A 27,169-nucleotide genomic window follows, 5' to 3' on the forward strand; every position below is an offset into this window, starting at 1 on the left:
ACTCTGTCTCAAAAAAATAAAATAAATAAATAAATAAATAAACAAATAAATGAAGAACTGCTCAGAAATGCCTCACAGAGCTCGACATTCCTGCCTCTTGTAATGCGTAGCAACCAGGAACCATGTGGCCCCTCTAAATGTGCATGGGTGTGTGTGGCAGTGCTTTTAGCGCTCTCCTGTCGTGTCTGTTTTGAAAAGGCTTTCTTGTTCTTGAATTAACATGCAGGCTGAGCAGACCCACGCTGGTCTGCTTTACAGACATGGGGCAGTGGGCAAGAGCCAGCACTGTTTTGGGATGATCAAAGCTCTGCTAATCCCATGTAATCTCCTAACGTAAGGTAATGCATTTCCAATTTGTGGTTTCTTTGGGATATGCTCCCTGAGGCCTGGCACCATCACTCCTTGGTAAATTGGGACTTGCGTGTGTGTAAAAGCCAAAAAGACAGCTTTGAGTCATGCTTGCCTATCACTCATTATCATGCATTATGGTTAGGTCTAAGGGCTTCAGATCTTGTGGATGTGTGAACTCGAAGCATCATATGGGGGAAAGAAGTCCCTTGAAATGTTGCAGAGGTGTAAATAGAAAAGACCCCTTGGACGCTTGCTGTGTGCTATCTTCTTTCACCTGATTTACTGTTGGGCTGAGAGAAAAGATCCTTAGTCTTACGGTGTTTCTCCTTTTATAGGATGTTGCCTTCTGTTCCCTCCCCAACCCAAGGCATTCTGTCTTAGCCACCAATTTTTCATCATCCTTCCAACTGGTATTACAGAGCAATGTAATATAATGACAGATATTCTCTTTAAAAGAGTATTAAAATAATCATAAGAAGGGATAAGTCCCTTCCTACATGGGGCTTTAATAATGATAAGACCCTCCCAGCAGACATGAAAAGGAAGAAAGAGATGATACAAAAGGGGAAGAGGAAGAGAGGATTACAAAACTCTCAATGACCTTAAGATTTGGAAGTTGATGACATAGACTAGAGTTGGCAGGCTTTTTCTGTAAAAAGCTAGATAAATAGTTTAGGCTTTGTGGGCCAAGTGATAAAAATGAGGAAATTTTATAAATATATATAACAAGAAAGAAAATAAAATTTCACATATTGTTATTGACAAAATTCAAAATATAATTGAGTACTCTAAAAAATGGTCTAGTAAGGAGAAGAATGGAATTCTTTTCCTTTGGGATAATGTTTTGCTTAATTGAGATTCTAGGTTAGTGATCCCTATCACCAAATTAACTGCAAATGTTCATCTGTAAAAAACCATTCTTATCTTGCAGGTAGTTGGCTGGATCTGGCCTGAGGCCATGACTTATCCGTTTCTGCCTAGACCAAGAGCAGTGCAGAAAGCCACTGACTCACTGTGTGCAGTTCTCAGTGTTACCTGGTGGGTCATAAAGGCATAAACACCTATCTTTCTGGGTGTATTATCAATATTAGGAAGACTCACGGGGCTATCTGTGTCTACTGCATTGTAGTCCTTGTTGTAAAGGACAAGCTGTGTTGTCTTTTTGCATAGGGCAGATGATGCTTCTGACCCACCATCAGTTGCCTTTCCAGAAGTGTAGAGAATTTAGGTTCAGGCTGGGCGCGGTGGGTCATGCCTGTAATCCCAGCACTTTGGGAAGCCGAGGTGGGTGGATCAGGAGGTCAAGAGATCGAGATCATCCTGGCTAACATGGTGAAACCCCGTCTCTATTAAAAATACAAAAATTAGCTGGGCGTGGTGGCACATGCCTGTAATCCCAACTACTCAGGAGGCTGAGGCAGGAGAATCGCTTGAACCCAGGAGGCGGAGGTTGCAGTGAACCAAGATTGCACCACTGTACTCCAGCCTGGTGACAGAGTGAGACTCCATCTCAAAAAAAAAAAAAAATTTGGTTCATCCATTCTTGGTCTATCCTGCTGCAGCTGGTACTGTTTTCAACCTAACCAACTAATTATGTGCCCTCTCATAACTTTTATGAGTGGCACTCAATAAATATTTGTTAATGAGCTCACAGAGGATTGATTCTATTCACTCTTTCTCTGTCCCATGTACATGTAGTATTATTATGAAGCAACTGAGCTAATGTTTGTCCTGTACATTTGTATAAAATTAATGTTTACACACAAATACACATAAACAGCTTATCTTTTTTTCAGGAAGTTTTACCACTGAAAATATTTTTAAAACAATGGAATCTAAAACAAAAACAAAACACCACTAGAGGGAACATTGTAGAGGCTTCATTTAAAAATCTTAATTGCTGTCCTAAAATACTTAATATATACAACATTAAAGTTTTCAGTGGGTGTTATCTTTAAATTAGAAATGTTTTAACAAATACAGAAAGTTCAGCTTTTCTCAGATTACGTTTTTAAAAGAACTCTGTAAAGTGGTGATGGGGGAGGCAGTGCCTCTGATGTGTTTACCACAAGTAAATATTTACTCAGGAAATAGGTCCTGCATACTGTTAAAGATACGGTTAAAGATATGATTTTCACCTCCAGCATTTCTGGAGGAGGCAAGGGGCCCCTCTACACAATAAAACTGCCATAGTACATGTTTCTCCCTTGGATACCCAGAGAATTTTCAGGCGGAGACCAGATTGATTAAAGCAATAGCACATGGGTAAGTAATCATGTATGTATTCTGTGCCAAGCAATGGGGTTATTCTCAGCCCTGCCTTGGTCACATGGTGGAGATCAGATAGCAATCAGGTTTGCTAATTCATGAGCCAGAGGTACCTCTATATTTTCAGGAAAGTGTTTGAGGTGAGCAGTCGCAATAGCTCTGCTTTAATCAACTGTGTCTTTTATTAAGCCAGCTCTTCCTAACAAAGGCCAGGAATAGAAGAGGGGAATTGTATAGACTTGGGGGGCTGAGACAGCTGAGAAAATCGCCGTTACATAATAACTGATATTTATGTAGTAAACCCTTATGGTTTTCAAGTATATCATACATTATCTCCCTTTAAACGCAGCAGTTTTTTGAGTGGTTAATCATCATCATCATCATCATCATCACCACCAACATCATCATCAGCAGCAGCATCATCAGCATCATCTTCACCATTACCATCATCACCACCACCATCATCATCACCACCACCACCATGATTATTATAATCATCATCTCACTACCACCACCACCACCACCACCACCACAACTACAATCACCACCACCATCACCACCACCACCATGATTATTATAATCATCATCTCACTACCACCACCACCACCACCACCACCACAACTACAATCACCACCACCATCACCACCACCACCATGATTATTATAATCATCATCTCACTACCACCACCACCACCACCACCACCACAACTACAATCACCACCACCATGACCACCACCACAACTACAAGCACCACCACCACCACTACCACCAGCACCACCACAACTACAATCACCACCACCACCACCACCACAGCTACAATCACCACCACCACCACCACCACCACCACCACAACTACAATCACTACCACCATCACCACCACCACCACCATCACCATCATCGTGAATATCATCATCATCACCTCACCACCACTACCATCACCACCACCACCACAACTATAACTATCACCACCATTATCACCACCACCATCATCAACATTATCATCATAATCATCATCACCATAACCACCACTACAACCATCACTACCATCACCATCATAACCAATACCACTACCACCACTATCATCATCATGATTATTATCATCATCACCTTACCACCACCACAATTATTATTATCTCTATAATCGCTACCACCACTATCATCACTACCACCAGTCCAACCACTACCGCCACCACCACCATCATCATCAGTATCATCATAATCATCATCACCATTACCACCACTACAACCACTACTACCATCACCTTTATTATCATCATTTTCACTGGAAAAAGGGAATTGAATCTTCTCAGGGGTTAGGTAATTTGCCTAAAGCCAAACAACTAGTAAGTTGAACTAGGTTTTATGAGTTCAAATATTTTGCTCATTCCACAGCATATATGTTACTTCCCCTCAGTTTGGAAGTCTGGAAGCTAAAAATCAAAGATTTAAAAACAACAATGGCTTCAGAATTTCTGTATGCAAAGTACCCAATACAGCAATATGGTTAGAAAAGGGGTCTGGGCCTTCTCTAGAAGCTGTTTGCAGAGCAACACGTGATTTTTTACTCAGATTGTAGAATGCAGACCACTCAAAACTGCAATGTTTTCTTTAAAAAGCTTTCTATTACGCTTTCTATTAAGATTAAAAATTTTAATTGATTTTTCAGTTTTTAGAGATGCTTGTGGAGATTAATAGGGGTGTGAGTCATGCCCTACCTCAAAAACATTCTTGGTATCCCTCAGCATATGAACCACAAGTTGAAGGAGAAGAGTTTGTTTTTCCTAATATTTTAGTCACGTAATTTATCTGAAGGCAGTTAAGAGAGTTAAGAGTGCCTTCTACAAATCATATCTGCTTATTTGAGTCTTTGGTATATTTTTTTAAATACCATTCTACTAGTGTATTTTGCTGTTATAAATAGAAAGAAAATTCCCACCATAGAAAATGTTTTCATATTTATTCTCTCTCAGAGATTTCTGAAGTTCAATTTATAGAGAATAAAAAAATTATACTCAAAGGCTCAGCCAGCTGACTCATCTTGTGATCTGAAAGGCAAGTTATCTTTTTGTTACTTCTTACACTGAATGAACAGTTTAGAATGAAGTCAAGAGGGAGAAGGGACCAGCTGCTCTTACGCTGTTGCTGTGTGAGTGGTATAGTATAAATATTTAAACCTTTAACTCCCAATAATTCAAAGGCAAAGAAAGAAAAATCTGTGGAGAAAAGTAGCACCATAACCTCATCACTTTCCGGAAGGCAGCAACGTCTTTCTTCTCTTTATTTTATTTAGAAATAATTGCTGTCTAGGACTAAACTTGTAATATAGCCACAGACGAAATAACCCCAGGATCTCTTCTCTGTTTAGAGGTTCTCTATTAATGAAAATCTTTACAAAGCTAGATCCGAGTGTGTTCTCTCTTCCTCAGTTTGGAAAAGAGACACTTTACCCACCCCAAAAAGTTCCCATGTTTCTCACATTTATATTTTAAGTTTCAAGAGTTTTACTTTGTATCCATCACTGTGTCTTTAAGTATCTTCTGCGTGAAGCATTTTTTAAGCAAACCGAGACATGAAAAAATTGAAGATAGAGAAAGCCAACATGTGAAAGAATGATGACATAAATTATTATTAATTTGCTTTCTGGAGAAACACTGCCAATTATATCTGGCTTTTGATTGCTATCACAGCATAGGTCAAAATCTTTCTCTTAAAAATATCTGAAAAGGATAAACTAAATTGTTCTTTTTTTTTTTTTGGAAGGAATATTCTAAATGATAAGATATGCTCTGGCTACACAGCACAAAGTAAAGATGGTTTTTAGCTTACATGATCTGATTTGTCTGTCAACAAGAATCCAACAGTTCAGGCTCTTGACACGTCCCTCTTCAGCCTAGGGTGTGCAGATGTTATGGAATCATCACCCTCATAGTCAGCCAAGCACATCCTCATTTCAGGGTCCCAGAAACTAGCACCTGGCACAGCCTGGACCATACTGAATGATGAGGAAGTACAAGAGAGTTTACTGTCTCATTAGCACTTGCATTTCTAGTTTCATTTTCTTCTTTCCATTTTCACTTTCTAGGACCATTTACTAGTTCTTTTTCTTGCTCTCCAACTTTTCTCTGTCCTTCTGGTACTTGAAAGAGTCACTTTAATTTGTCTCAACTAATACCTTTTCTCTTTTAAAATATCTTCCAAAATCAACTGAATTTTAAACATTTTAGTTAAACATCACAGCTTTTGGCAGATAATTAGTAGACAAAATTTTGCCATCCGAAAATAAATGAGAAGTTGAATAAACTGACATTTGCTTAGCACAATAAAATATAGAAGGCAGGCTGAGCATGGTGGCTTACGCTTGTAATCCCAGCACTTGGAGAGGCCTAGGTGGGAGGATCACTTAAGGCAAGGAGTTTGAGACCAACCTGGGCAACATAGTGAGAGGCTGGCTTTACAAAAAAAATTAAAAAATTAGCTGGATATGGTGGTGCACACCTGTAGTCCCAGCTACTTGGAGGCTGAGGCAGGAGGATCCCTTGAGCCCAGGAAGTTGAGGCTGCAGTGAGCTGCAATCACACCACTGCACTTCAGCCTGGGTGATAGAGCGAGAGCCTGTCTCTTGAAAAAATACAGGAGGCATAGTTAGCCAGATAAATCACATCTTTTTAATAAATATGTTGGCTTGTGTAAGTGAAGTGGCTTCTATCAAAAAGAGAGGTGGGAGTGCAACCCTCCAGATTTATTTTAATATTTTGGTCACAAAAACTACACATTTCTTTTTCTTTGTTTAAATTATCATACCTACAATGAGTATGCATGTACTTTTAGTTTTCAACTCAAGCCCTATAGAAGACATACTCTAGTATATCTTACACACATCATTCCTAAAAAGTTAAGACTTGGCTTGCTGCTCATAGAGATATTAAAATAAACATCTAAAATGTTTTACTTGTAGTTTTGGGCCCCTTTTGGCATTGGCCTGATCTAAACAGGTTACCCTGAGGTCACTGGGGGCCATAAATCAGGGGGGTGGACTGGTGGCTAAGACAGCCTGCATAGCTTTAGTGCAATGTGCTATTTTAGTTTATGCCCCTGCAATGACACCATCTCTTTGGCACCAGCCAAAGAAAGCTTCCTAGACATCTATGGGAAGAGAATGTTTTGCAGTAATCCAAGGCAGAGGTCACACAAGCATGAATTACTGTGGGGAGGTCTTTGTCTGCTCCAGACCCTGGGACAAATAAAGTAGGGAAAGTGACTTCCAACTAAAGCATTTATCCAGGAATTCGGGGGTGGAAATTGATCCAAGCAATCTTGGCAAATTGTGAAAGCAAAGAGTGACCAATTCTTTTCAACCCAGGAAACTAGGGCAGCCTCTTTCTGCCCCTTTTCCAATCCCGTTATTGGGTCCACTTGAGAAACCCAGATATTTCTTGAGAAAGATTCAGCATAGTTAAATAGCAATGCTTGTATTTATTTATGTTATAAAATGTGGCATAATCACACAAAAATCTCCAATCCTCTCTAGCCAAGGCTCATATACTTTTACATTTGATTTCTCTTACTTTTTCCATGGAGGGTATGACTTAACCAGTCTGAACTTTCAACATTTACTAGTTTTGTACATAATATGAATTTAATTGCTTTTTTCCCCTTTCTTCTTTCTATTAATTTTGGAAGGAGCAAATACAATTCAGGAAACAATATCAAAATATTCCAGATTATACCAGATTGCATAATTATTTACCTATTAAAAGAAAAATACTACCTTGGTTTTGTAAACAGCCTACATGGAAAGACAAAAAAAATAGGTATTTATCCTAATTACAATTCTTTTTGTGTGTGTGTGTGTGTTAAGTGTTTTGTAGTCTTCTTGCTCCCTCTGACCTGAAGTTCCCTTTGAAAAGGAAAAAGTGCTAACTTACTTGGCTTGGAGAAAGGAGAGAGGCTTGGTTCAAAAGTGACTGCCAATTTTTTTCCAACCAGCTGTTAGTCTCCTTAAGAGCAACAGGCAGCTAATGGTTGAATGGACTTCCTTTTGCCAGTTCATCTCCATCTGGGAGAGTTCCCCTCCTTTGTGGAGGTTGAAACAACTTTCTCAGACACAGTTATCCAGGACAGAAGTATTCTCATGCTCAGTTGCACTCTACCAGCTCTGGGGGACATTTGAAAATCTGACAAATGCTTTGTAGTTTCTTGTGATCTTCAAGCATAATCTTAAAAGGCATGTAAGTGTCCAGGAAATACAAGAACCTGAGAAATACTTTGCACACTTACTGTGAACTTGGGGTGTTTTATTATTCTAATCATTGCACCTGACAAAAGATTACTGAGCAGTGCTGAAAATGGAGGCGGGGCGGGTTGCGTTTCTAAGGAAAGAAGCAATTGCAGCTTTAACTTGTGCCAAGGAGTAATTTTGGCTGCTAAAATACTCACTGACCACCACCTGGTGAGCCGTTTGCTCCCACACGTGAATTCTGTTCTGTTCTTGAAAGCAGGATAGGAACCTACACTGTGCATGGCCCTTCTTTTTTCCTTTTTTCAATTGTCATCATCATTGTCATCATCATCATCAGCAGCAGCAGCATTGTTGTAGTCATTACCATTATTACCCATCCAGTTATTTCCACTAACACTGACCAGACTGGCTGTCAAGATCACACAGTGACAAAACAGATGAAAGCCCTTTAATTTGATAAGTTTGAAAGAACAATGGGAAAAGAGTCTGTAAGGCTAACTACTGGTTTTTCACTACCTTGATAATCAAATGAATCATTTCTCCAGGAAAGATTAAGCCTACTTGAGAGTAACCATTTTCTAAATGACGTGATGATGTTGTTAGGAAAGCAAACTTAAGACTGTGTGTGTGTGTGTGTGTGTGTGTGTGTATGAGAGAGAGAAAAAGAGAGAGAAGAAACAGATGGAGAGACAGAGAGAGAACAGACATTGGGATTTGCAGTGTGTAGGTGAATCCCTTTTCTTTCTGTCTCTCTTTCTCTTTCTCTCTCACTATATGCAACCTGTTTTAGAACAAGAGCAGTTACACACCAATGCTCCGAAGTTCTGTGAACCTTAACATTTCCTTTAACCACAAAAAACAATTGCTGAAGCAAACAGGATCTCAGAAAGGCAGTTTAAAAAATACATTGTGAGGATGACTCATTGACTCATTTTTTTTCTTCCCAGATCTTTATAGTGTCCATATATCTAAATGGATTTATATATACTTTTAAGCAAATGCACCTAAATTCTAAATCTGTGTAACCTCTAGGAGAAAGGGATCTTAAAAATGTGTCAATTGCAAGGAAATATAGTTGCCCTAATAACAAGCTTCTGGGCATTTTCCTTTTTTTATGTTACGGAAAACTCATTGTGCCAAAAGCTTTCTGCTTAGGCATGTTAAGTGAGCTGAAAGTATGCGTGAATCCTAGAACAAGCATGAACTTTTACAGGTAGATACATCATTTTGAAGTAAAGACTGGAGACTGGGTAGTAGAATGCTCAGAGAATGTGTAATCAGTCCCCTTGTTTCAGAAGAAGAATGAGGCTCAAAGAAGATAAATGACTTGCCCAAGATCCTCCAGCTATACCACAGCAGGGGCAAGGCTACAACTCAGACTCCTAACAACTTGTTCAGTGCTATATCTGCCACGTTAAACCTCTGAAAAGTTATTTATAAACTGAAGTTCTGTAAATAAGTCCTATTTTGAATCTGAGGTTAACCAGACGTGAAAAAATGGTCACTATTCTATAAACCCATTTTTGTAAATAGACAATAGGGATTCATATGTATTAAGTACTGACCACTATTCTAAAAGCTTTCCCTATCATAACACTTAAGCCACACACAGCCATATGAGGTTTGGACTCCATTTTATAAGTGAGTAAACTGAGGCACAGAGAGATTAGGTAACCTGCTTAAGGTCATAAGTGAATTGGTTGGCAAAGCCTAGACCGTGCAATTCCAGAGCTGAAGCTTTTGACTGTTACCCCACACAGAGCTTGCTTAAAATGAGGCAGCAGCTGGACATGCTTTCACATAAATTGCCAAACATGAGCCACGGCTCTGAAAACTGAATAAAAATACACTGGATGTTGGCCTTGCAAGGATTTTCTCTTTAATCTTTAGGGATTAAGTTAAATGAGATAATCAGTTTGGAAAAGATAAAGCATACCACATTGAAGTGCAACGCAAACATTATGCATCTACTATGAAGATAATCTGTACAACCGATAGGTATTACTGTCCCACTTCACCATTGAGGAGACCAAAGTTAGCTTGTATGGGTACCACGAAGCAGAACCAGAATCTGAGTCTGAATCTCGTTTGACTCCCAACTTATCAACCTGCACTACCTCCCTCACTTCCCACCTCAGAGCTAGCTGGTTACCTAGCTACCTGGAACCTGGGGACCTCAGCCATTCCACTACAACATGGTTAGTGAGGTTACAATAATCACCTTGGAAATGATGAATGCTCAGGAGAGAGAACACACAGGTTCATCCAGCCCTGCTTGGTCTTAACGCTTCCCTTCAGGATGGGGCCACGCATAATCCAGAGTGCAGTGCATCAGCCTATAGAGGGCGCTCTTAAGTATCATAGCCAGATGTAAAAGAGCAAAATTCCTATAGGCAAAGAAATGTGGGCTGGGCGTTTTGGAATGCCATTCCTGGAGGGAGGTGTGGGTGAATGATTGCCAATTTTTCCGTTCTAAGCTTATCTTCATAGTTGTGAGCATTTTTCAGGTCCTCAAAAGAGTTAGTATCTAAGTATAAATTTTCTCTTTAAGGTGTTTGCTTAAAGAGGAAACATCTTTAAGAAGTGAAAGCTGAAGAATGGGGCCTAAGATCAAACTTCAAGGTGTTGGTGGCCTAAACGCCTGCCATCAAAGTAACACAACAGAATGATAACTTGGTAAACAGCAGCGAAGCTCAATAGATATTCTTCAAATTGATTTAAGTTGTGATAAAAACCCAACTAATGATTTTAAATATTTCTGTAGCTAGAACAACATAGCAGAAAGACAACATCAAAATATTAACCATGATTACATTCTACATGACTAGATTACAAGGGGTTCTTTGCGACACTCTAATTTTTCTTCAGCGAACTTGTATTGCTTGGGTAATTACACATACACAAAAACCTTACTACTGTTCCTTTTAAAAAATTACTGAATAGAGTTTTTTAAAAAATTGCTAGACGTAGTTTCTTGCGGAAAATAATCAAATTCACGAGATTCTTGAGTCCAAATTTCCTTTATTTAGGTGGCTCCAAATTCTAAAAAAGCTTTTGCCTATAGCCCAATCTCATAGGCAGCATTTGAACAAAACATCCATCCAATGACTAGATCATCCCTTTAAAATCGCAACCTTTACAGTTAAATTCCAGTGGATAGGTCAAGTCATGGAAAAGCTGCAAGATGAGAACAGAAAACTGAGCAGTGCCAATGGGGATTGGAAGCTACCAGGGCTCCAGTATCCCGACTTGGGAAAAAAGAAAATTGGAAAAGGGAATGGAGGGTTGGAGTGCCAAGTATGTGTGAGGAAGAGTAAGAGAGAAGGACCCAGGCCGGGCATGGTAGCTCACGCCTGTAATCCCAGCACTTTGGGGGGCCAAGGAGGGTGGATCACCTGAAGTCAGGATTTCAAGACCAGCCTGGCCAACATGGCAAAATCCCATCTCTACTAAAAATACAAAAATTAGCTGGGCATGGTGGTGGGCGCCTGTAGTCCCAGCTACTTGGGAGGCTGAGGCAGGAGAATGACTTGAACCCGGGAGACGGAGGTTGCAGTGAGCTGAGATTGCACCACTGCACTCCAGCCTGAGCAACAAAGCAAGACTCTGTCTCAAAAAACAACAACAAAAAAAAAAAAAAAAAAAAAGAGAAGGACCGAGAGAAAGATAGACAGAGAGAGAGAGACAGAGAGAGAGAGAGACAGAAAGAGAGAAGTGCAAATCAAAGCAACATGGTACCATGAAAAACCACTCCTGGTCCATTTATTTAACTTCTTCCCTAGCAGCCCTGCTGTGCTCAAACCACTGTGACAGGCTTTCCTTAAGGTGTTAGACAAGAGATAGCACAGAAGAGAGACAAGGCAAAAAATTTAGTACTATTTTCCAGCCTAAACTAAACCTTTATTTTAGTCATGACTTTAAAAAATGTATTTGCGGGAATGACTCAACCCCTTGTTCCACCCCTTGCCTTGTGTATTCCTTCAGTGCCTAAGTTGATATTTGCAGCCACTACCTCACTCAGGATGCTTTGTTTTTATCATTTCAAAATACTCAAGTCCTTGCCCAAGCTGGGCAAAAGTGTCCAGTGGTGTCAAAACAAAGCAAAGCAGACCGGAGAGCCTCCTGCCAGAAAGATGCATTTACCTTCACCAAAAACATCATCCTCTTCATCGACCAGGAGCTCCTCAGCATCAAAAAACTGCATCTTGGAGAGGACAGGCGCGAGAAGCAGCAGGCAGCAGCCCCGGCAGTCTCAGCAGTCACACTGCCGACCGAGGTGATTTCCTTTCCTTGGGTTGCCCAAGCCCTCTGGAGGGCAGCTTCCGCATCTGCCCTGAAGAAAGCAGTTTCATTCATATGAATAGGCTTCTTGAGCCTTGTGAAGAGTGAATCCCAGGTGGGGTAATTCTCACCACTGAGGAGAAAGAATTTTTTGAAGAGGGCTGCAGATCCGGTTGGATATGAATACAGATATCACTCAAAGTCTGAATGCAATGAATTCTATTTCAAAGCAACAACTTTCATATTTCCTTAAAGAGGAAGGTGGGTGCTTAACTTTCTTGCTTATGAATTTGAACACAATGGGTTTTGTTGAAAGAGGGAGTTCATATTTCTCATATCTTGGTTTTGCTTCAATTACAATTTATCTGAAAGTAAAGCAAGCCACTATGTTAAACCAAAGCAGGCATTTAGAGGACAGAGCTTTTATTTTGCTCAGTAATAGTTGCATTTTTCTTTTCTTTTCTTTTCTTTTTTTCAAACCTCTTGCATTTAAGGATTGGAAACTTTACAGCATTTAAACCAAACTGAACCATATCTAGGCTTTATGTGGCTCGATTAAATCTATAGTCAATGAATAGATAACTGGTTTTGGTCAAACATCTTGCATTTCACAATATTTACTCAGTTTGATACTTCAGACTGTATCACTAAAGGAGAAAGAAGAAAATGTAACTCAAAAAGCAGTCCTCCCAAAGGGATGAGTGAACACTGAGCTTCTACGCGAGCACCATTGGCTGGCATCACCATATCGAGCTACCCAACGTGTGCCAAATTCTGTCTGGCTGCACAAACAAACACACATCTCTCTGAGTAATACTGAGACTTCATTTCGGGGTTTCCCAGAGCACTCCACTGTGTTGTAAGATCTCTTAGGTGGCCAGAAGCTTAGAAAATGCAAATGGAGATGACAGTGAGGAGCTGTTGACCCAAGGTGTTTATTTTTGGCACTTTATTTACTGCATGGTTTTGAAGATACTCCCAGTGTTACCCTAGAGAAACTGTCCCCTCCTCCTGTAACTGCAACCTTGAAATTGCACCATTTTCTCCCAGAAGAGACTGTGGACAACAGGGTTGGAGAAATCCAGCAGTGAGAAGGGATCACCCCAGAGGAATTCAGGAATCAGACACTGAGGGTTAACTGAGCAGCAACAGTCAGTTCATCCCTGCATTGGTGGCTGCAGCAGTTCCCAAAGACAGTGTACAGCTTGGGTCCTGCTGGGATCACCAATTGTTGTCAATCAGGGCTGGAACCATCCTTAGAGGAGAGCTTGGAAATGTCTGGGGTGTTTTGGGTGGCACAATGACTGGGGGTTATTACTGGTATTTAATGTCTTAGCACTCAGGGGCCCAGGGATATCAACCTTACCATAATGCATGGAACAGTAGCTCAACAGGAAGAACTGTCCAGCTCCAAATACCAATAATGCCCACCTTGAGACACACTGACAGGCAGAGAACTGGAGTTATCCTTTTCTCTAGCTCTCCTTTGCATCTCCCCTTTCTGACCCTTTTACCACCCCCTACCATGATCCCCACTTGAATGATGTTTCTGGACAAGGGTTGCACTTAGTTACATAAATTAAATTAATTAAAATGGGCCTAGGTGTAGGAAATTTGGATGTGGACTAAAGCTCTCTTTTGTGTGGTTGGGATAAGAGGATGGGTGTCCATTTTGATAATCACTACATTTCTCAACTACTGTCCTATGTCCTTTAATCTCCACAACTTCATGAGGTGGGTGCTATTATCCCATTTTACAGATGAAGCAATGGGGGCTCTGAGGGCTTGAAAAACATTCCTAAGATCAGGCAGCTAGTGAGTGGCAGATTTGACTAATTCCAGAGCTCACTCTGTTACCTCATGTCTGGACAACTTATGGGAGTGACTGCACACAGTCCAGTTCACTGCAGCATCCCCGTGGCTCTTGGGGACCTGCACTACCTCCCTCACCTCCCACCTCAGAACTACCTGGTTACCACGTGAACCTGAGGGCCCTAGCTATTCCACTTCAAAAAGTTAGCATAACCTCTGTAGGCCTGTTTCATTTTAAGTGGGTGGAATTGTGTCTCCCCTGTTGAATTCATATGTTGAAGTCCTAACCCCCAGTACCTCAGAATGTGACCTTACTTAGAAACAGGGCCATTGAAGATATAATTAGTTAGGATGAACTTATATCATATTGGAGGAGGATGGGTCCTTAATCCAATATGACTAACTTCCTCATAAAAAGGAGAGATTTAGACAAAGACATAGACATAGGGAGGATAGTATGTGAAGATGAAGGCAGAGATCCACAAGCCAAGGAACACCAAAGACTGCCAGTAAACCACCATGAGCTAGGGGAGAGGCCTGCAAGAGATTCTCCCTCACATCCCTCAGAAGAACCAATCCTGCCAACACCTTGACCTTGGACTTCTAGCCTCCACAGCTGTGATGCAGTAAGTTTCTGTTGCTTAAGCCACCCAGTTTGTGGTACTTCATTACAGAAGTCCTAGAAAATAATATACTTTCTCATTTGGCTTGTTTTGAGGATTAAGTAGGATAATTTATGTAAAGAAGCTGACACAGTACATGGTACACAGTAAATACCCAGTTATAATTATACGCCTAAGTCTCTCACAGGGACGCTTAGGATATTTCCCAAATTGAAGGCTCAATGGGGATAGAGAATGAGAAGTCACCACACTCCATATAAAACCTCAATAACCCTTAGGAAGTTTCCCTCAGTCTCCTCTTCTCCAATTTAGATATCTCAGAAACACAGCTAATCATCTCAAAGAACAAATCACAAATGCTACCACGAACTCCTTGAAAGCACAGAGGATAGAAAACATGGTTCTTGCTCTCCAAAGTTTACAATTACCTTAGAGAGATATGACATACATGCATGATGTGTTAACTAAAAAGAAAAATTAATAAACTACATATGCATGCATCAATATGGATGAGTTTCAAAAACATAATATTGACTTTGAAAGGTCTCAGAAAATTATAAATGGTATAATTATATTTATATGAGTGTCCAAAATGAGCAAATAAAAAAATGTAGGTAATCGCTAACACAGAGTGCCAGCAACAGTTTTAAGTGCTTTGATTCACTTAATTCCTATATCAACCCTAAGATATAGATATATTTATTATCTCTATTTTAGTTTAAGGCCCAAGAGGTGAAGTGATCCACCCAAGGTCATACATTTGGTAAGTGGTAGAGGTACTGAGATTTGATCCCAGAGTCCAAACTCTTAAACACCAGGCTACACTATCTCTTATCTATGTAAAGTCTAAAAGAATGCTGAGCTTATATAAAATTTTAACAAAGTGCAATAAACTGTGAAGAAGTGACTAGACAAAGGAGGCAGAGTAGGGGAGTGGGCTCCTAAGAGTGGCAAATTGTGGGAAGGTAACTAGGAATGTATGATAGCTAAGGATTGTTATGCAGACTCATCTCTCATATCAGGAAGAGGACCATGAGGCTTAGTCACCCAAGATGGGAAATAAAACACCTTTACAAGTGGAAATTTATGGCACTTAAAGCAGAAAGGAGAAGGGCAGAAGATTCTTTCTCAAAAATAGCTCAAAATAGTACTTATGCTAAATTAGCATATTTTGGGGGACACATTCTGATCCCCTTCGAATCCATATTAGAAAAGAAAGACTAAAGATAGGGAAATTCAGTGCTTAGTTAAGGGAGATGTAGGTCACAGAGAGTAGTTTTCACTAAGAAATGAGGAGTAAGTCTGAAACAACAATGAAAGAATCTTGCTTTTCAGTGATTGAGGCAAACAGCTCCAATAATTGGATTTGGGGAAGAGAACAAAAGTATAGATGAACCAGTATAAGGCAACTACTTTGATCAAATGGTGATTTGTGACAACCTGTACTAAATTTAACAGCAGAATTTCATCAAGGTCATAAGCACAGGAACATAGCAAAGCTTTTATACTCCAAAGAGTTGGTGCCCACTTTATGCCATACTAGGTCTGTGAATTACAATGATATGAAAGGTCTGGTCCTTGCTTTGTGGAACTTTACTCACTTCATTCATTTGGAGAATAGTAATGAATACCTACTATATTTCAGGTATGGTGTGAAATATTTAAGTAAATATATAAGTGAGAAGGCATGTGTTGTGTTGAACATATGAATATCAACACAGTATTATTATTTTGAGTTATGAGAATTGAGGCTATAATAATTAATAATTTATTAATTTAAAATATTTCTGCATAGTTTGCTGTTTTGAAAAAAAATACCACCTGTGAAGCGTGTACAGGAGGAAACCATACTAGTGGAAAAATTTCAACATCCAACGTGGGCTTTTATTCCAACAGAAGAGCCTCACAATCTTCTCTCTGTGCTTCTGGAGAATTTCCCACTCCTTTCAGAAAGTGTTTTAAAATACTTAATTTTCAGATATACAAACTTCTGAACAGGGAGAAAAACCTGAACTAATTAGGAGCAAAATGTTCGAAACAGAAAGGAGAACAAAGTAGGAGAGAGGAATTGAAACTGTGAGGAGTGGTAGGAATCAGAAAAGAAAAAGGTGAAAAAAACCACAGAGTCAGAAATAATCTTATCTTTGGGTAACTTTGCCAGTAAAGATGCACCTAAAAATTTGTCTAATTTGTCTAACTGTAAAATGCCATGTCTAAAGAGCTGGGACAAAAGGAATACGATTTTTTTTTTTTGAAACAGAGTCTGTCTCTGTCGCTCAGGCTGGCGTGCAGTGGCTCGACCTTGGCTCACTGCAACCTCCACCTCCCGGGTTCAAGTGATTCTCCTGCCTCAGCTTCCCCAGTAGACTAGCTGGGACTACAGGTGTGCGCCACCATGCCCAGCTAATTGTTTGTGTATTTTTAGTAGAGACGAGGTTTCACCATGTTGGTCAGGCTGATTTTGAACTCCTGACCTAAAGTGATCTGCCCGCCTTGGCCTCCCAAAGGGCTGGGATTACAGGCGTGAGCCACTGCGCCTGGCTGGAACATGATTTTTAATAGTATTCTTGTTTTCATGTTGCAAAGAGGAGGTACCAATCTCATGGGTACAATCTCATGAGGGTTGTCTCATGAGGAAAACCCTCCCAGAGCCTTTAGAAGTCTTCCTGCCTGCCTCCCCCAGTTTCAGGCGCATCATTAGGCTGCAGGAGCCACACTTAGAGTCACTTACTGAAGGTGCTGGGGAAGCCTGACCAAAGTCCAGGACTGTTTCCTTCAATGGGACTAAAGACAATGACGGTAATTGCCCGCTGAGGGAATCCATTCCTTCCACTTACGAAAGAAGGAGAAGAACCCAGCAAACGAGAGTTCTATGGCAAGACTCACATTGGGTATGGTTGGCAAGGTCATAACTATGGGTTAAAGGTATGACTGCTGGGAGTGGTTAGCTTGCAACTAGAAACAGAAAAAAAAAAAAGCATATAAAGGCACTGGTTCTGGGATTTGACAGGGCTGAGTTACAATCTTGGCTTCGTTACTATCTAGCTCTTTGACTAGAGTTAATAATTTCACTTTGAATCAGTAAAATGGAATAATAATAATCAATTACTGAGTTAAGGGACAGTTCAGCCCTTTCCCACTAATTGTCCCAAATTAAAATACAATCTATATTAATACATTGTGCTATCAATGCAAACACAACTTCAAGACCCAGTCCCTAGTCCCTGGCCTTACCCTCTGTCTCAACCAGAATGTAATCACAAAGCCTCTCCAATAAAGAAATCCTGTAGCTGCTACTGATAATAAAATTTACCTCTCAGGGTTTGGCAACATTAACTGAGATGGGAATCCTTTCCTGTGGCCCTACCATTGACTTTAAAAGCATTTTCAGGGATCACTGTACAGTCTGCCCCTCCTCCCCTTTTTTTAACCTCAAGACAAATTTCTTGGTGTGGGAGCTACAGAAAGTGACAGAAGGGGTGGAGAAAAGATACACAGGAAAATAAACTTTAAGAAGACAGAAAGGAACAGTCTTCCATGTCTGTGAGAGATGTGGGGAAAGTTTAAGGAGAATTACAATCCTTCCTCCCAGAATGTGACCCCAGACCCAAGACAGCCAAAGAAGGCAAGATGAGAAGATATAACTTTCTCAACTTTTAAAGAAAGGCATGCATTTTGTGCACCCTAAATCTTATAATGAAAGATTGCTTGATAGCACATAAGTCACTGGGTGGCAAAATAAGAGACAATATAAAATATTGTTATTGAAAAAATGAATTTTATTTAATGACTAGTACTTGATCCTTTGGTAAATCACAAACTTTCTAATTATTTGTTTTCAAGGAACTGAAGGAAGATCTTACCGAGTTGATACTATGGGATCAAGAAATGTATTTTTAAATAATAATTTATTACATGATATTTGACATACGATTGACAAAAAATTAAAAGAGATTGGATATTAGAGAAAACGCTGACATAAAGACCTTTAAAAAGCCTTTCTTTGGGTATATACCCAGTAATGCAATTGCTGGGTCAAATTGTATTTCTAGTTCTAGATCCCTGAGGAATCGCCACACTGACTTCCACAATGGTTGAACTAGTTTATAGTCCCACCAACAGTGTAAAAGTGCTCCTATTTCTCCACATCCTCTCCAGCACCTGTTGTTTCCTGACTTTTTAATGATTGCCATTCTGACTGGTGTGAGATGGTATCTCATTGTGGTTTTGATTTGCATTTCTCTGATGGCCAGTGATGATGAGCATTTTTTCATATGTCTTTTGGCTATATAAATGTCTTCTTTTGAGAAGTGTCTGTTCATATCCTTTGCCCACTTTTTGATGGGGTTGTTTGTTTTTTTCTTGTAAATTTGTTTGAGTTCATTGTAGATTCTGGATATTAGCCTTCTGTCAGATGAGTAGGTTGCAAACATTTTCTCCCATTCTGTAGGTTGCCTGTTCACTCTGATGGTAGTTTCTTTTGCTGTGCAGAAGCTCTTTAGTTTAATTAGATCCCATTTGTCAAATTTGGCTTTTGTTGCCATTGCTTTTGGTGTTTTAGACATGAAGTCCTTGCCCATGCCTATGTCCTGAATGATATAAATCATGCTGCTATAAAGACACATGCACACATATGTTTACTGCAGCACTATTCACAGTACCAAAGACCTGGAACCAAGCCAAATGTCCCACAATGATAGATTGGATTAAGAAAATGTGGCACATATACACCATAGAATACTATGCAGCCATAGAAAATGATGAGTTCATGTCCTTTGTAGGGACATGGATGAAGCTGGAAACCATCATTCTCAGTAAATTATCGCAAGGACAAAAAATCAAATACTGCATGTTCTCACTCATAGGTGGGAACTGAACAATGAGAACACTTGGACACAGGAAGGGGAACATCACACACTGGGGCCTGTTGTGGGGTAGGGGGAGCAGGGAGGGATAGCATTAGGAGATACACCTAATGTTAAATGACGAGTTATTGGGTGCAGCACACCAACATGGCACATGCATACGTATGTGACTAACCTGCATGTTGTGCACATGTACCCTAAAACTTAAAGTATAATAATAATAATAATAAAGCCTTTCTTCCATAAAAGCAATAAGAAACTGGGAAAATGGCCAGTATCGACTTTTGCAGAAGGCTGGAAATTAACCAAAGGCTTACAGCAATCCAGGAGCATTTATTCAAGAAAAATGGCTGAATTTCAATAGAACAATGAGTTTTATGGCATTTTAATTTACCAGCTTCCACACACTTCACCTTATCTCTGTGGTAGCCTTGAAAATCAGCAGCCTGCAATCACAGTGAAAATCAACAGCCTGGCAGCTATTGGAATGGTTGCAGAATGGAGATAAAGCTTCTTCAAAGTCCCATTCCCCCCAAAGTCCCATTCCCCCAAAACTGTCACTATTTGACCTGTCTGGTGGTTCTCTGGAAGACTTCACTCACAAGCCTTTTTATTTAATCTGATTTAGAGTTGCCAAGTGTGAACAGTCTTTTCCTTGGGGGTGTTTGTTGAAAAGAATCACAGGCAATTAGTCAATACTGCAGCCGCCTAAGTCAGTGGATTAGAGTTAGGGGCAAACAATAGGCTTAACAAAAAGCTTAAAAGAAAAAGCTTGGGAATGAGATGCCCATAGGAGACTTTGAAAAGCTCCCACATATTCCTGGGAATCTAGAAGGTGAAGCCTATATAGGGCTACGTGCATGCCCACAGCTGTGTATATGCTCAGAAAATACTTGAGAAGGCCCTAAGGTCTGACCACTGGCTAACCTTAAGGCTCTCCAGAAGCAGAAAGTAAAGGCTAAGGCAGAGTTGTAAAGTGCTTAACTGAGCATTGAAAGTGTGTCCTAGTGTGCATATAGAACCCCTTGGCAAAGACTGCAAGATTTATTGGTCCCAGGCATCTAAAGAAATTTCTGTTCAGTCATTAGTGTACCACTAAGCTAATCAAGCAGAGATTTCAGTGGCCACACATGACAAACAATATAGACTTTACAGAACTATCTCAGAAAAGTCACTAAAAAAACAACAAGAACAGCAACAAAAACCTTGGGGGAGTAGGGAGAATCTGATTTCCAGAGTTTCCATATAATTTTAAACATCCCGTTTTCAGCAAAAAATTATGAAACATGCAAAGAAGCAAGAAAGTATGGTCTATACACAGGAAAAATAAACAATCAATAGGAAGTCCCTAATGAAGCCCAGAAGATGTTGGCTGCAAACTTCCCAGATTTGATGAACAAGATTAATCTATAAATCTAAGAAGCTCAATGAATTTCAAGTAGGATAAACTCAAAGAAATCCACAACTAGACACATCATAATCAAACAGTAGAAAGTCAAAAACAAAGAGCATCTCACCCAAACAAAAGTGACTTGCCATATACAATGGATCTTCAATAATACTAAAAAGCAATTTCTCATTAGAAGCAATAAAGGGCAAAGGGATGAAAAAAAGTTGGTTAATGGGCACAAAAATAGTTATATAGAAGAAATATGTTCTAGTGTTTGACAGTACAGTAGGGAAATTATAGTTGACAGTAATTTATTATATATTTCAAAATAGCTGAAAAGAAGAATTGTAATGTTCCCGCCACAAAGAAAAGATATATGTTTGAAGTGATGGATACCCCAATTACTCTGATTTGTATATATTCCATACATGTATCAAAATATCACATGTACCCCCAAAATATGTACAATTACCATATATCAATTAAAAAAAAGAAATAAACCATAGAAGGCAGAAGAAAGGGGACAGCATATATAAAGTCCTGAAAGTAAAAAATAAAAACAAAAAAACTGTCAACTAAGAATTGTATATCCAGCAAAACTATCCTTTGAGAATGAAGGAGAAATAAATATATTTCCAGATATACAAAAGCTGAGGAAGTGTATTACTAGTAGATTTGCCTTGTAAGAAATGCTAAAGACAGTCCTTTAGGTTGACATAAAAGACACTGGACAGTAACTCAAAGCCATAAGAAAAAATAGAGAGCACTGGTAGAAGTAACTTCATAAGTAAACATAAAAGACAGTACAAATGTATTTCTTGTTTGTAACTCTTTTCCCTCATCTGATTTAAAAGACAATTGCGTAAAACAATAATTATACATCTGTGTTGACGGGCATATAATATATAAAGGTGTAATTTGTATGACAATAACAGCACAAAGAAGAGGGGAATGAGTAGAGTGATAGAGGATAAAAGTTTTTATATTCTCTTGAAATTAAAGTGGTATTAATCTAAACTAGATTGCTATAAATTAAGATGTTAATTGTAATCCCCAAGGCGATCACTAAGAAAATAAATAAAAAGTGTAGTAAAAGAACCAATAGAAAAATTCAAATTATAAACTAGAAAAATATCAATTTAGCACAAATAATTCAGTGATACCTCTATAAAAAATTTCTTTTATTCTCGTTTATTTTCTTATGTGAACTTGGCTTCTTAGTGCTTACACCTATATAAATAAAATATGAATATTTTTACAAATTCCTGTCTCACTGTAGCAAAAGTAATATTCATCCATGGATAAATGAACTCACTGAAAGAAAGTCAACCTCACTCATCTCATTAAGAGATACATTTCTAATAAAATTTTGATTTCATGCTGGAAGATGATAATTATTTACTTATTTATTTATTTTTAATTAATTTTTTTTTTTGAGACAGAGTCTTACTCTGTTGCCCAGGCTGGAGTGCAGTAGCATGATCTCAGCTCACTGCAACCTCCACCTCCTGGGTTCAAGCAATTCTCTTGTTTCAGCCTCCCAAATAGCTGGGATTACACCACCATGCCCAGCTAATTTTTATATTTTTAGTAGAGATGAGGTTTCACCATGTTGGCCAGGCTGGTCTCAAACTCTTGACCTCAGGCCATCCACCTGCCTCGGCCTCTCAAAGTGCTGGGATTACAGGTGTGAGCCATCGCACCCTGCCAACCGTCTCATTTTTAAAGCCCAAAGTAGATTCTGAAAAATTACATACCTTCACGCATTGGAAACCTTGTATCCTGTAATCCCAGCTACTCAGGAGGCTGAGTCAGGAGAGTCGCTTGAACCTGGGAGGTGGAGTTTGCAGTGAGCTAAGATCGCACCACTGCACTCCAACCTGGGCAACAAAGCAAGACTCCGTCTCAAAAAATAAATAAATAAAATAAGATGGTTAAAGACTACTGGTGCAGATCTCACATTGAGCAGAGTAGGACTACAGCAGGACCTGTAGGGCAGGGACTGGGATCAGGGGGTTCCTGGGGGAGCCAAAAGAAATAGGGGCCCAAGGGGTCTGGACCCTGCAGGAGGTAGGCTTCGCAGTGCCATCCCTTTGCACATACTAGCTTTGTGGGCTGTGACCCAGTCTCTCCTGACGTATTTCTTTTTGGCCTCCAAATTTCTTGTCCTCAAAGAAGGAATAAAACAAGGATTTAGAATTCAGGACTTGTTAAGTTGATTTTGGCCAAGTGTTTTTGAAAATTCTTCCTGGCGTGGCTTCTTTTCAGTATATGTGTTTCAGTGACCTCTGACTATACAGAGACAGAAAAACAATTTGGAGAAAGAGATATTTTGAAGACTATGTGACAGAAAGAAAGAAGAAAGAAAAAAGGAGGAAGAAAGAGAAAACGTGAAGGAGGAGCAGAATATTCTTCTTTTGGAAGGAAAATACTTCCAGATTGTGTCTGTTTTTTTAAAGATTCCGTGGGAGGATATCCAGAGACACTCCTTGATTTAAAACTTCAGCCTTCCCTCCCGCAAATTCGGCTCTGGGTGCCTATCAATGCTACAGGACAGACGTGGGCCCAGATAAGGCTGAAACACACCTCAACTCTCCGTCTCGGGTTTTGGGCTCACCTTAGATGCACTCTAACTCTGCTCTGTCAGGCATCCAGGAAGAACTACATGCATTTGGGTCAATTTGGATGGAGGAAATGAAGAATTATCGAGTAAGAAATCACCATTCCTCTTTTGTGTACTAGAAGGCTCAACCCTGAATGTACCTTCCTACTTTAATGTCTGAAATGTATTAATAAATTACGATAAAGAATGAAACAGTGAAAACAAAACCCCAGAATAAAAGAAAAGAAAACGTGTCCTGTGGACCGAATTATGGAACGGTCCTGCTCAGGAGGGAATAAAGTCTCATGTTTTCCTGACCTGGGACTGGTGGAGAAAGAAGATGGTGCAATTCTCCTCTGATTCCTTACAGTTTAATTAGCAGCCTTGATCTTCTTCAAAAAGGGGCTCTACCTTTTCTTCTCTTTCAAATAAAGGATGGGGAGGAGAAGGAAAAAGTAGGGGGAAGGGGAGGGGAAGGAAAAGAGTAGGGGAAGGGGAAGGAAGGAGCAGTGAAGGAAGGGAAGGAAAGAAAGAAAAAAGAAAAAAAATGAGATATTGCCTCAACTTTTAATGTATAAGTTAACTCTCGCATGTTTTAATAGCTCGTCTAGTTCAATTTGGCCTTCAAACGCTATATCCCCTATTATAGAGCTCACTTTCCATGACCACGCTCTTATAATTATTTTCCTAATTAGTTCCCTGGTCCTATACATTATTTTCCTAATACTCACCAAAAAATTAACTCATACTAGCATCATAGATGCCTAAAAAATCGAGACTGTCTCAACTATTTTACCTGCCATTATCTTAATTTTAATTGCCCTCCTATCCTTACGTGTTCTGTACATAACAGATGAGGTTAACAACCCTTCTATCACTGTCAAAGCAATTGGCCACCAATGATATTGAAGCTATGAATATACAGGCTATGAAGAATTAGTCTTCGATTCTTATATAGTCCCAACAGCAGACTTAAAGCCAGGAAAACTTCGATTCCTGGATGTTGATAACCAAACAATTCTCCCAGTAGAGATCCCCATCCGTATATTAATCTCATCCGAAGATGTCCTGCACTCATGAACTAACTATCCCCTCATTGGGCCTCAAAACAGATGCAATCCCCAGAATACCTGACTATGAAGAGAACCTCTGAGCATTAGGATGATGAGCCCAGATTCCTCTCCTTCACTGCTCTGTGTCTGTCTCAGATGATTGCTCATGGGAGTTGTTAGTTATTAATCACTCTGCTATTTCTTTCTTTCTTTCTTTTTTTTTTTTTTTGAGATGGAGTTTCGCTCTTGTTGCCCAGGCTGGAGTGCAATGGCACAATCTCGGTTCACCGCAACCTCTGCCTCCCGGATTCAAGAGATTCTCTTGCCTCAGCCTTCCGAGTAGCTGGGATTACAGGCATGAGCCACCACATCCAGCTAATTTTGTATTTTTAGTAGAGATGGGGTTTCTCCATGTTGGTCAGGCTGGTCTCAAACTCCCGACCTCAGGTGATCCGCTCACCTTGGCCTCCCAAAGTGCTGGGATTACAGGCGTGAGGCACCACGCCCAGCCACTCTCCTATTTCAAACATTTTTTTGCCTTTTAAATGTCAGTTCAGGTTGACCACAGGGAAACTTTGTAACGACCAATGGGTCAAGCTTCTGAGGCACTGGTTCTGGCCCCTTTTCCTCCTCTCTCCAACCCTCTCCCTCTTGTCCCTGTTCCCTGACTTCTCTTAGGTGTCAAAAACAATCCAGGGCTCATTTCATCTCTGTACATCCATGTCACTCTCTCCTCCTTAACTCTTCAAATAGTATCTTTTTTTTTCCTTTTCTTAGAACCATATCTGGTGTGACAACAATTTGAAAAGCGCCACCCATCCTCTCTGAGACCACAAACAGCGCTGAAGGCAGTGAACCAAGACTTACAAACAAGGGTGTAGACCAAGGAAAATGCTGGGGGCCAGAGGAGGAGAAAGCAAGAAGATAGAAACACCATAGTTTCAAGAGGGAGGGGAGCAGAAAGCCGCCAGCTCTCCAAAAAACAAGAAGCAAAACCCAGAACTCAAACCTCATGAAAGTATCACGAGGTTGAAGCCTTTAAAAGGTGTTTTTACAGCAGATTTTAGAGACTTCTCACCTTACCAACGGTTATAAACCCGTATCCTTGCAAATTCAGCAGTAGAGTCATTAGATTGCCCTCTCAGCCTCTGCACGTGAAGGGTCTCAGGGCTTTTCAGGACATCTTTAGGGTCAGGTTTCGTGAAATAGGTAGGTTGGGCCAGCTTTCTGGGGACTCTAAGCAACCTTGGAGAAAATGGGCAGGAGTAAATAAAGGTATGCCAGCTTGCTTTTTCCAGTGGGGACTTGGCAAATGCCAAAAACAGTATAAATATTATATTCCCATCTTCTAATATCATGGAAACCCATGGTGGCAATGGGGCGCAGGGCTCACTAGCCACCCTGAGGTGAAGAAGTGGCCCCTCAGAGATCTGAAGCTGGTTAGCAAGAGTTCACCAGGGCCTAGCTCCTTGTCCCTCAGGGAAAGCCCCTGGGTGCTATAGCCCACCACCTGGAAGGGGCAGCCCCTGGAGAAATGTTAGAATTCTGGGTGAATTATTTTCTTATGAAATTTCATCCAAAGTTTTAACAAAGTACCAAATAGGAGAGTTGTTAAGTATTGTGAGTGAGTGAGGTGGAGGAAGCAGAGCGGGGAAGGGGTGGCTCCACTCTCTCACTATATTCACTGCTCATCCTAGAGATGACCTAGTGTCAAAAACGTTGCAAATGCAACCAGCTGCCTGTTGCATCCATGTAGTTCAGTTGTTGCTATTTACAGGGTAGTATAAATGCCCGGTGCTGCTATGAACCAAGGTGCTGAGTATCAAATGTTCCTGGAAGAGCACCTAGTAGTGTTTCATTGGATGGTTTCTAGTAAAAACTTTATGCAAAAGTAATATGGTATTGCTGATTATAGGTATTATCTGATAATAATAATCCTGTCAAGTACTTGCTTGGGCCAGATCACTCTGTGAAGGCAGAAAGTTGGCAATGCTTGTCTTAAATGCAAGATTCTTTCTCTTTTCTTCCTCCCTCCCTCCCTCCTATTCAACCATCCTTTATTCACCCTTGGAAAAATTTGGGCTCTGCATTCACTCTTGCACAATCCTGTAATCTCATGGTTTACTTTATGATGACAATATTAATGACAATAAAGGCACATTTTCCCTAAGATACTTGGGAGTATGTGTGGCTTATCCTTCTGTTTTCCTTACGAAGTAAAAGGGAGCTCAGTGTGTCTGTCCTCACTTTACTGATGCAGAGATTAAGGACAAGGAATCTAAGTGAATGGGCAGTAGGGGACATGAAACATGGCAGGGTCACCGGAGCAAGCCAAAACACTTTTGAAGAGCCAGTGAGTCAAACCTGTGGAAACCTATGCCAGAAAGTTCTTACAGGGATGACTGAACTGTTCCATCTGAACAAAAAGAAAATATATTCATTTAAACAAGCCTAAAGTGCAGCTATCTAACAGGCGAGGTGGATGGGGTTGGGTGCATAGGGTTTGCTGCTTTAGTGCTGATTTCTCAAATCTTTTATTTTCTCTGCTGACCTCTGCAGTACCATAGAACACAGTCCAGGCATTAGACTTGCAGCCACAGGATCTAGGTCTTGTGTGTCAGTTTTGAAGGCAGCATGCCCTGCTAGACTGCGACATCCTAGAAGACAAAGGTCAGCCAAGATCTTTG

General features: G+C 40.1%; 1 protein-coding gene, 1 long non-coding RNA gene and 1 pseudogene across 11 annotated transcripts in view, besides 2 other annotated features; 2 read left to right on the top strand and 1 right to left on the bottom strand.

Annotated features, from left to right (window-relative positions):
* The window catches only part of RIPOR2 (RHO family interacting cell polarization regulator 2), a 237,885-nt gene that overhangs the window by 119,554 nt on the left and 91,162 nt on the right, over window positions 1-27,169 (bottom strand). For 4 of the 9 annotated variants that reach the window (NM_001286445.3, XM_047419591.1, XM_047419592.1 and 1 more), the window contains exon 1: window positions 12,001-12,123. The exons of the other annotated variants lie outside the window; for them this stretch is intronic. In NM_001286445.3, the coding sequence (NP_001273374.1) occupies window positions 12,001-12,061 (61 nt within the window). In that variant the 5' untranslated portion in view covers window positions 12,062-12,123. Of the gene's footprint in view, window positions 1-12,000; window positions 12,124-27,169 lie in introns of those variants that run through there. 9 annotated transcript variants of the gene reach the window in all.
* Window positions 5,619-5,738: an enhancer, noted in NCBI's record as "active region_24160". NCBI's record gives its function as "activates an Ori minimal core promoter by ATAC-STARR-seq in GM12878 lymphoblastoid cells {active_cell/tissue: GM12878}" and the evidence as "EXISTENCE:reporter gene assay evidence [ECO:0000049][PMID:35858748]".
* On the top strand, window positions 10,138-26,654 carry LOC105374981 (uncharacterized). 2 transcript variants are annotated; one of them, XR_007059514.1, is made up of 3 exons: window positions 10,138-10,227; window positions 10,409-10,533; window positions 25,260-26,654. It is a non-coding gene; the product is annotated as an uncharacterized LOC105374981 (long non-coding RNA). The 2 variants fall into 2 exon arrangements; XR_007059513.1 differs by lacking the exons at window positions 10,138-10,227; window positions 10,409-10,533 and adding an exon at window positions 12,208-12,399.
* Window positions 12,836-13,005: an enhancer, noted in NCBI's record as "active region_24161". NCBI's record gives its function as "activates an Ori minimal core promoter by ATAC-STARR-seq in GM12878 lymphoblastoid cells {active_cell/tissue: GM12878}" and the evidence as "EXISTENCE:reporter gene assay evidence [ECO:0000049][PMID:35858748]".
* On the top strand, window positions 24,043-24,507 carry MTCO2P33 (MT-CO2 pseudogene 33; annotated as a pseudogene).

The sequence above is a fragment of the Homo sapiens genome, chromosome 6, assembly GCF_000001405.40.
Source record: "Homo sapiens chromosome 6, GRCh38.p14 Primary Assembly".
Taxonomy (NCBI): Eukaryota; Metazoa; Chordata; class Mammalia; order Primates; family Hominidae; genus Homo; species Homo sapiens.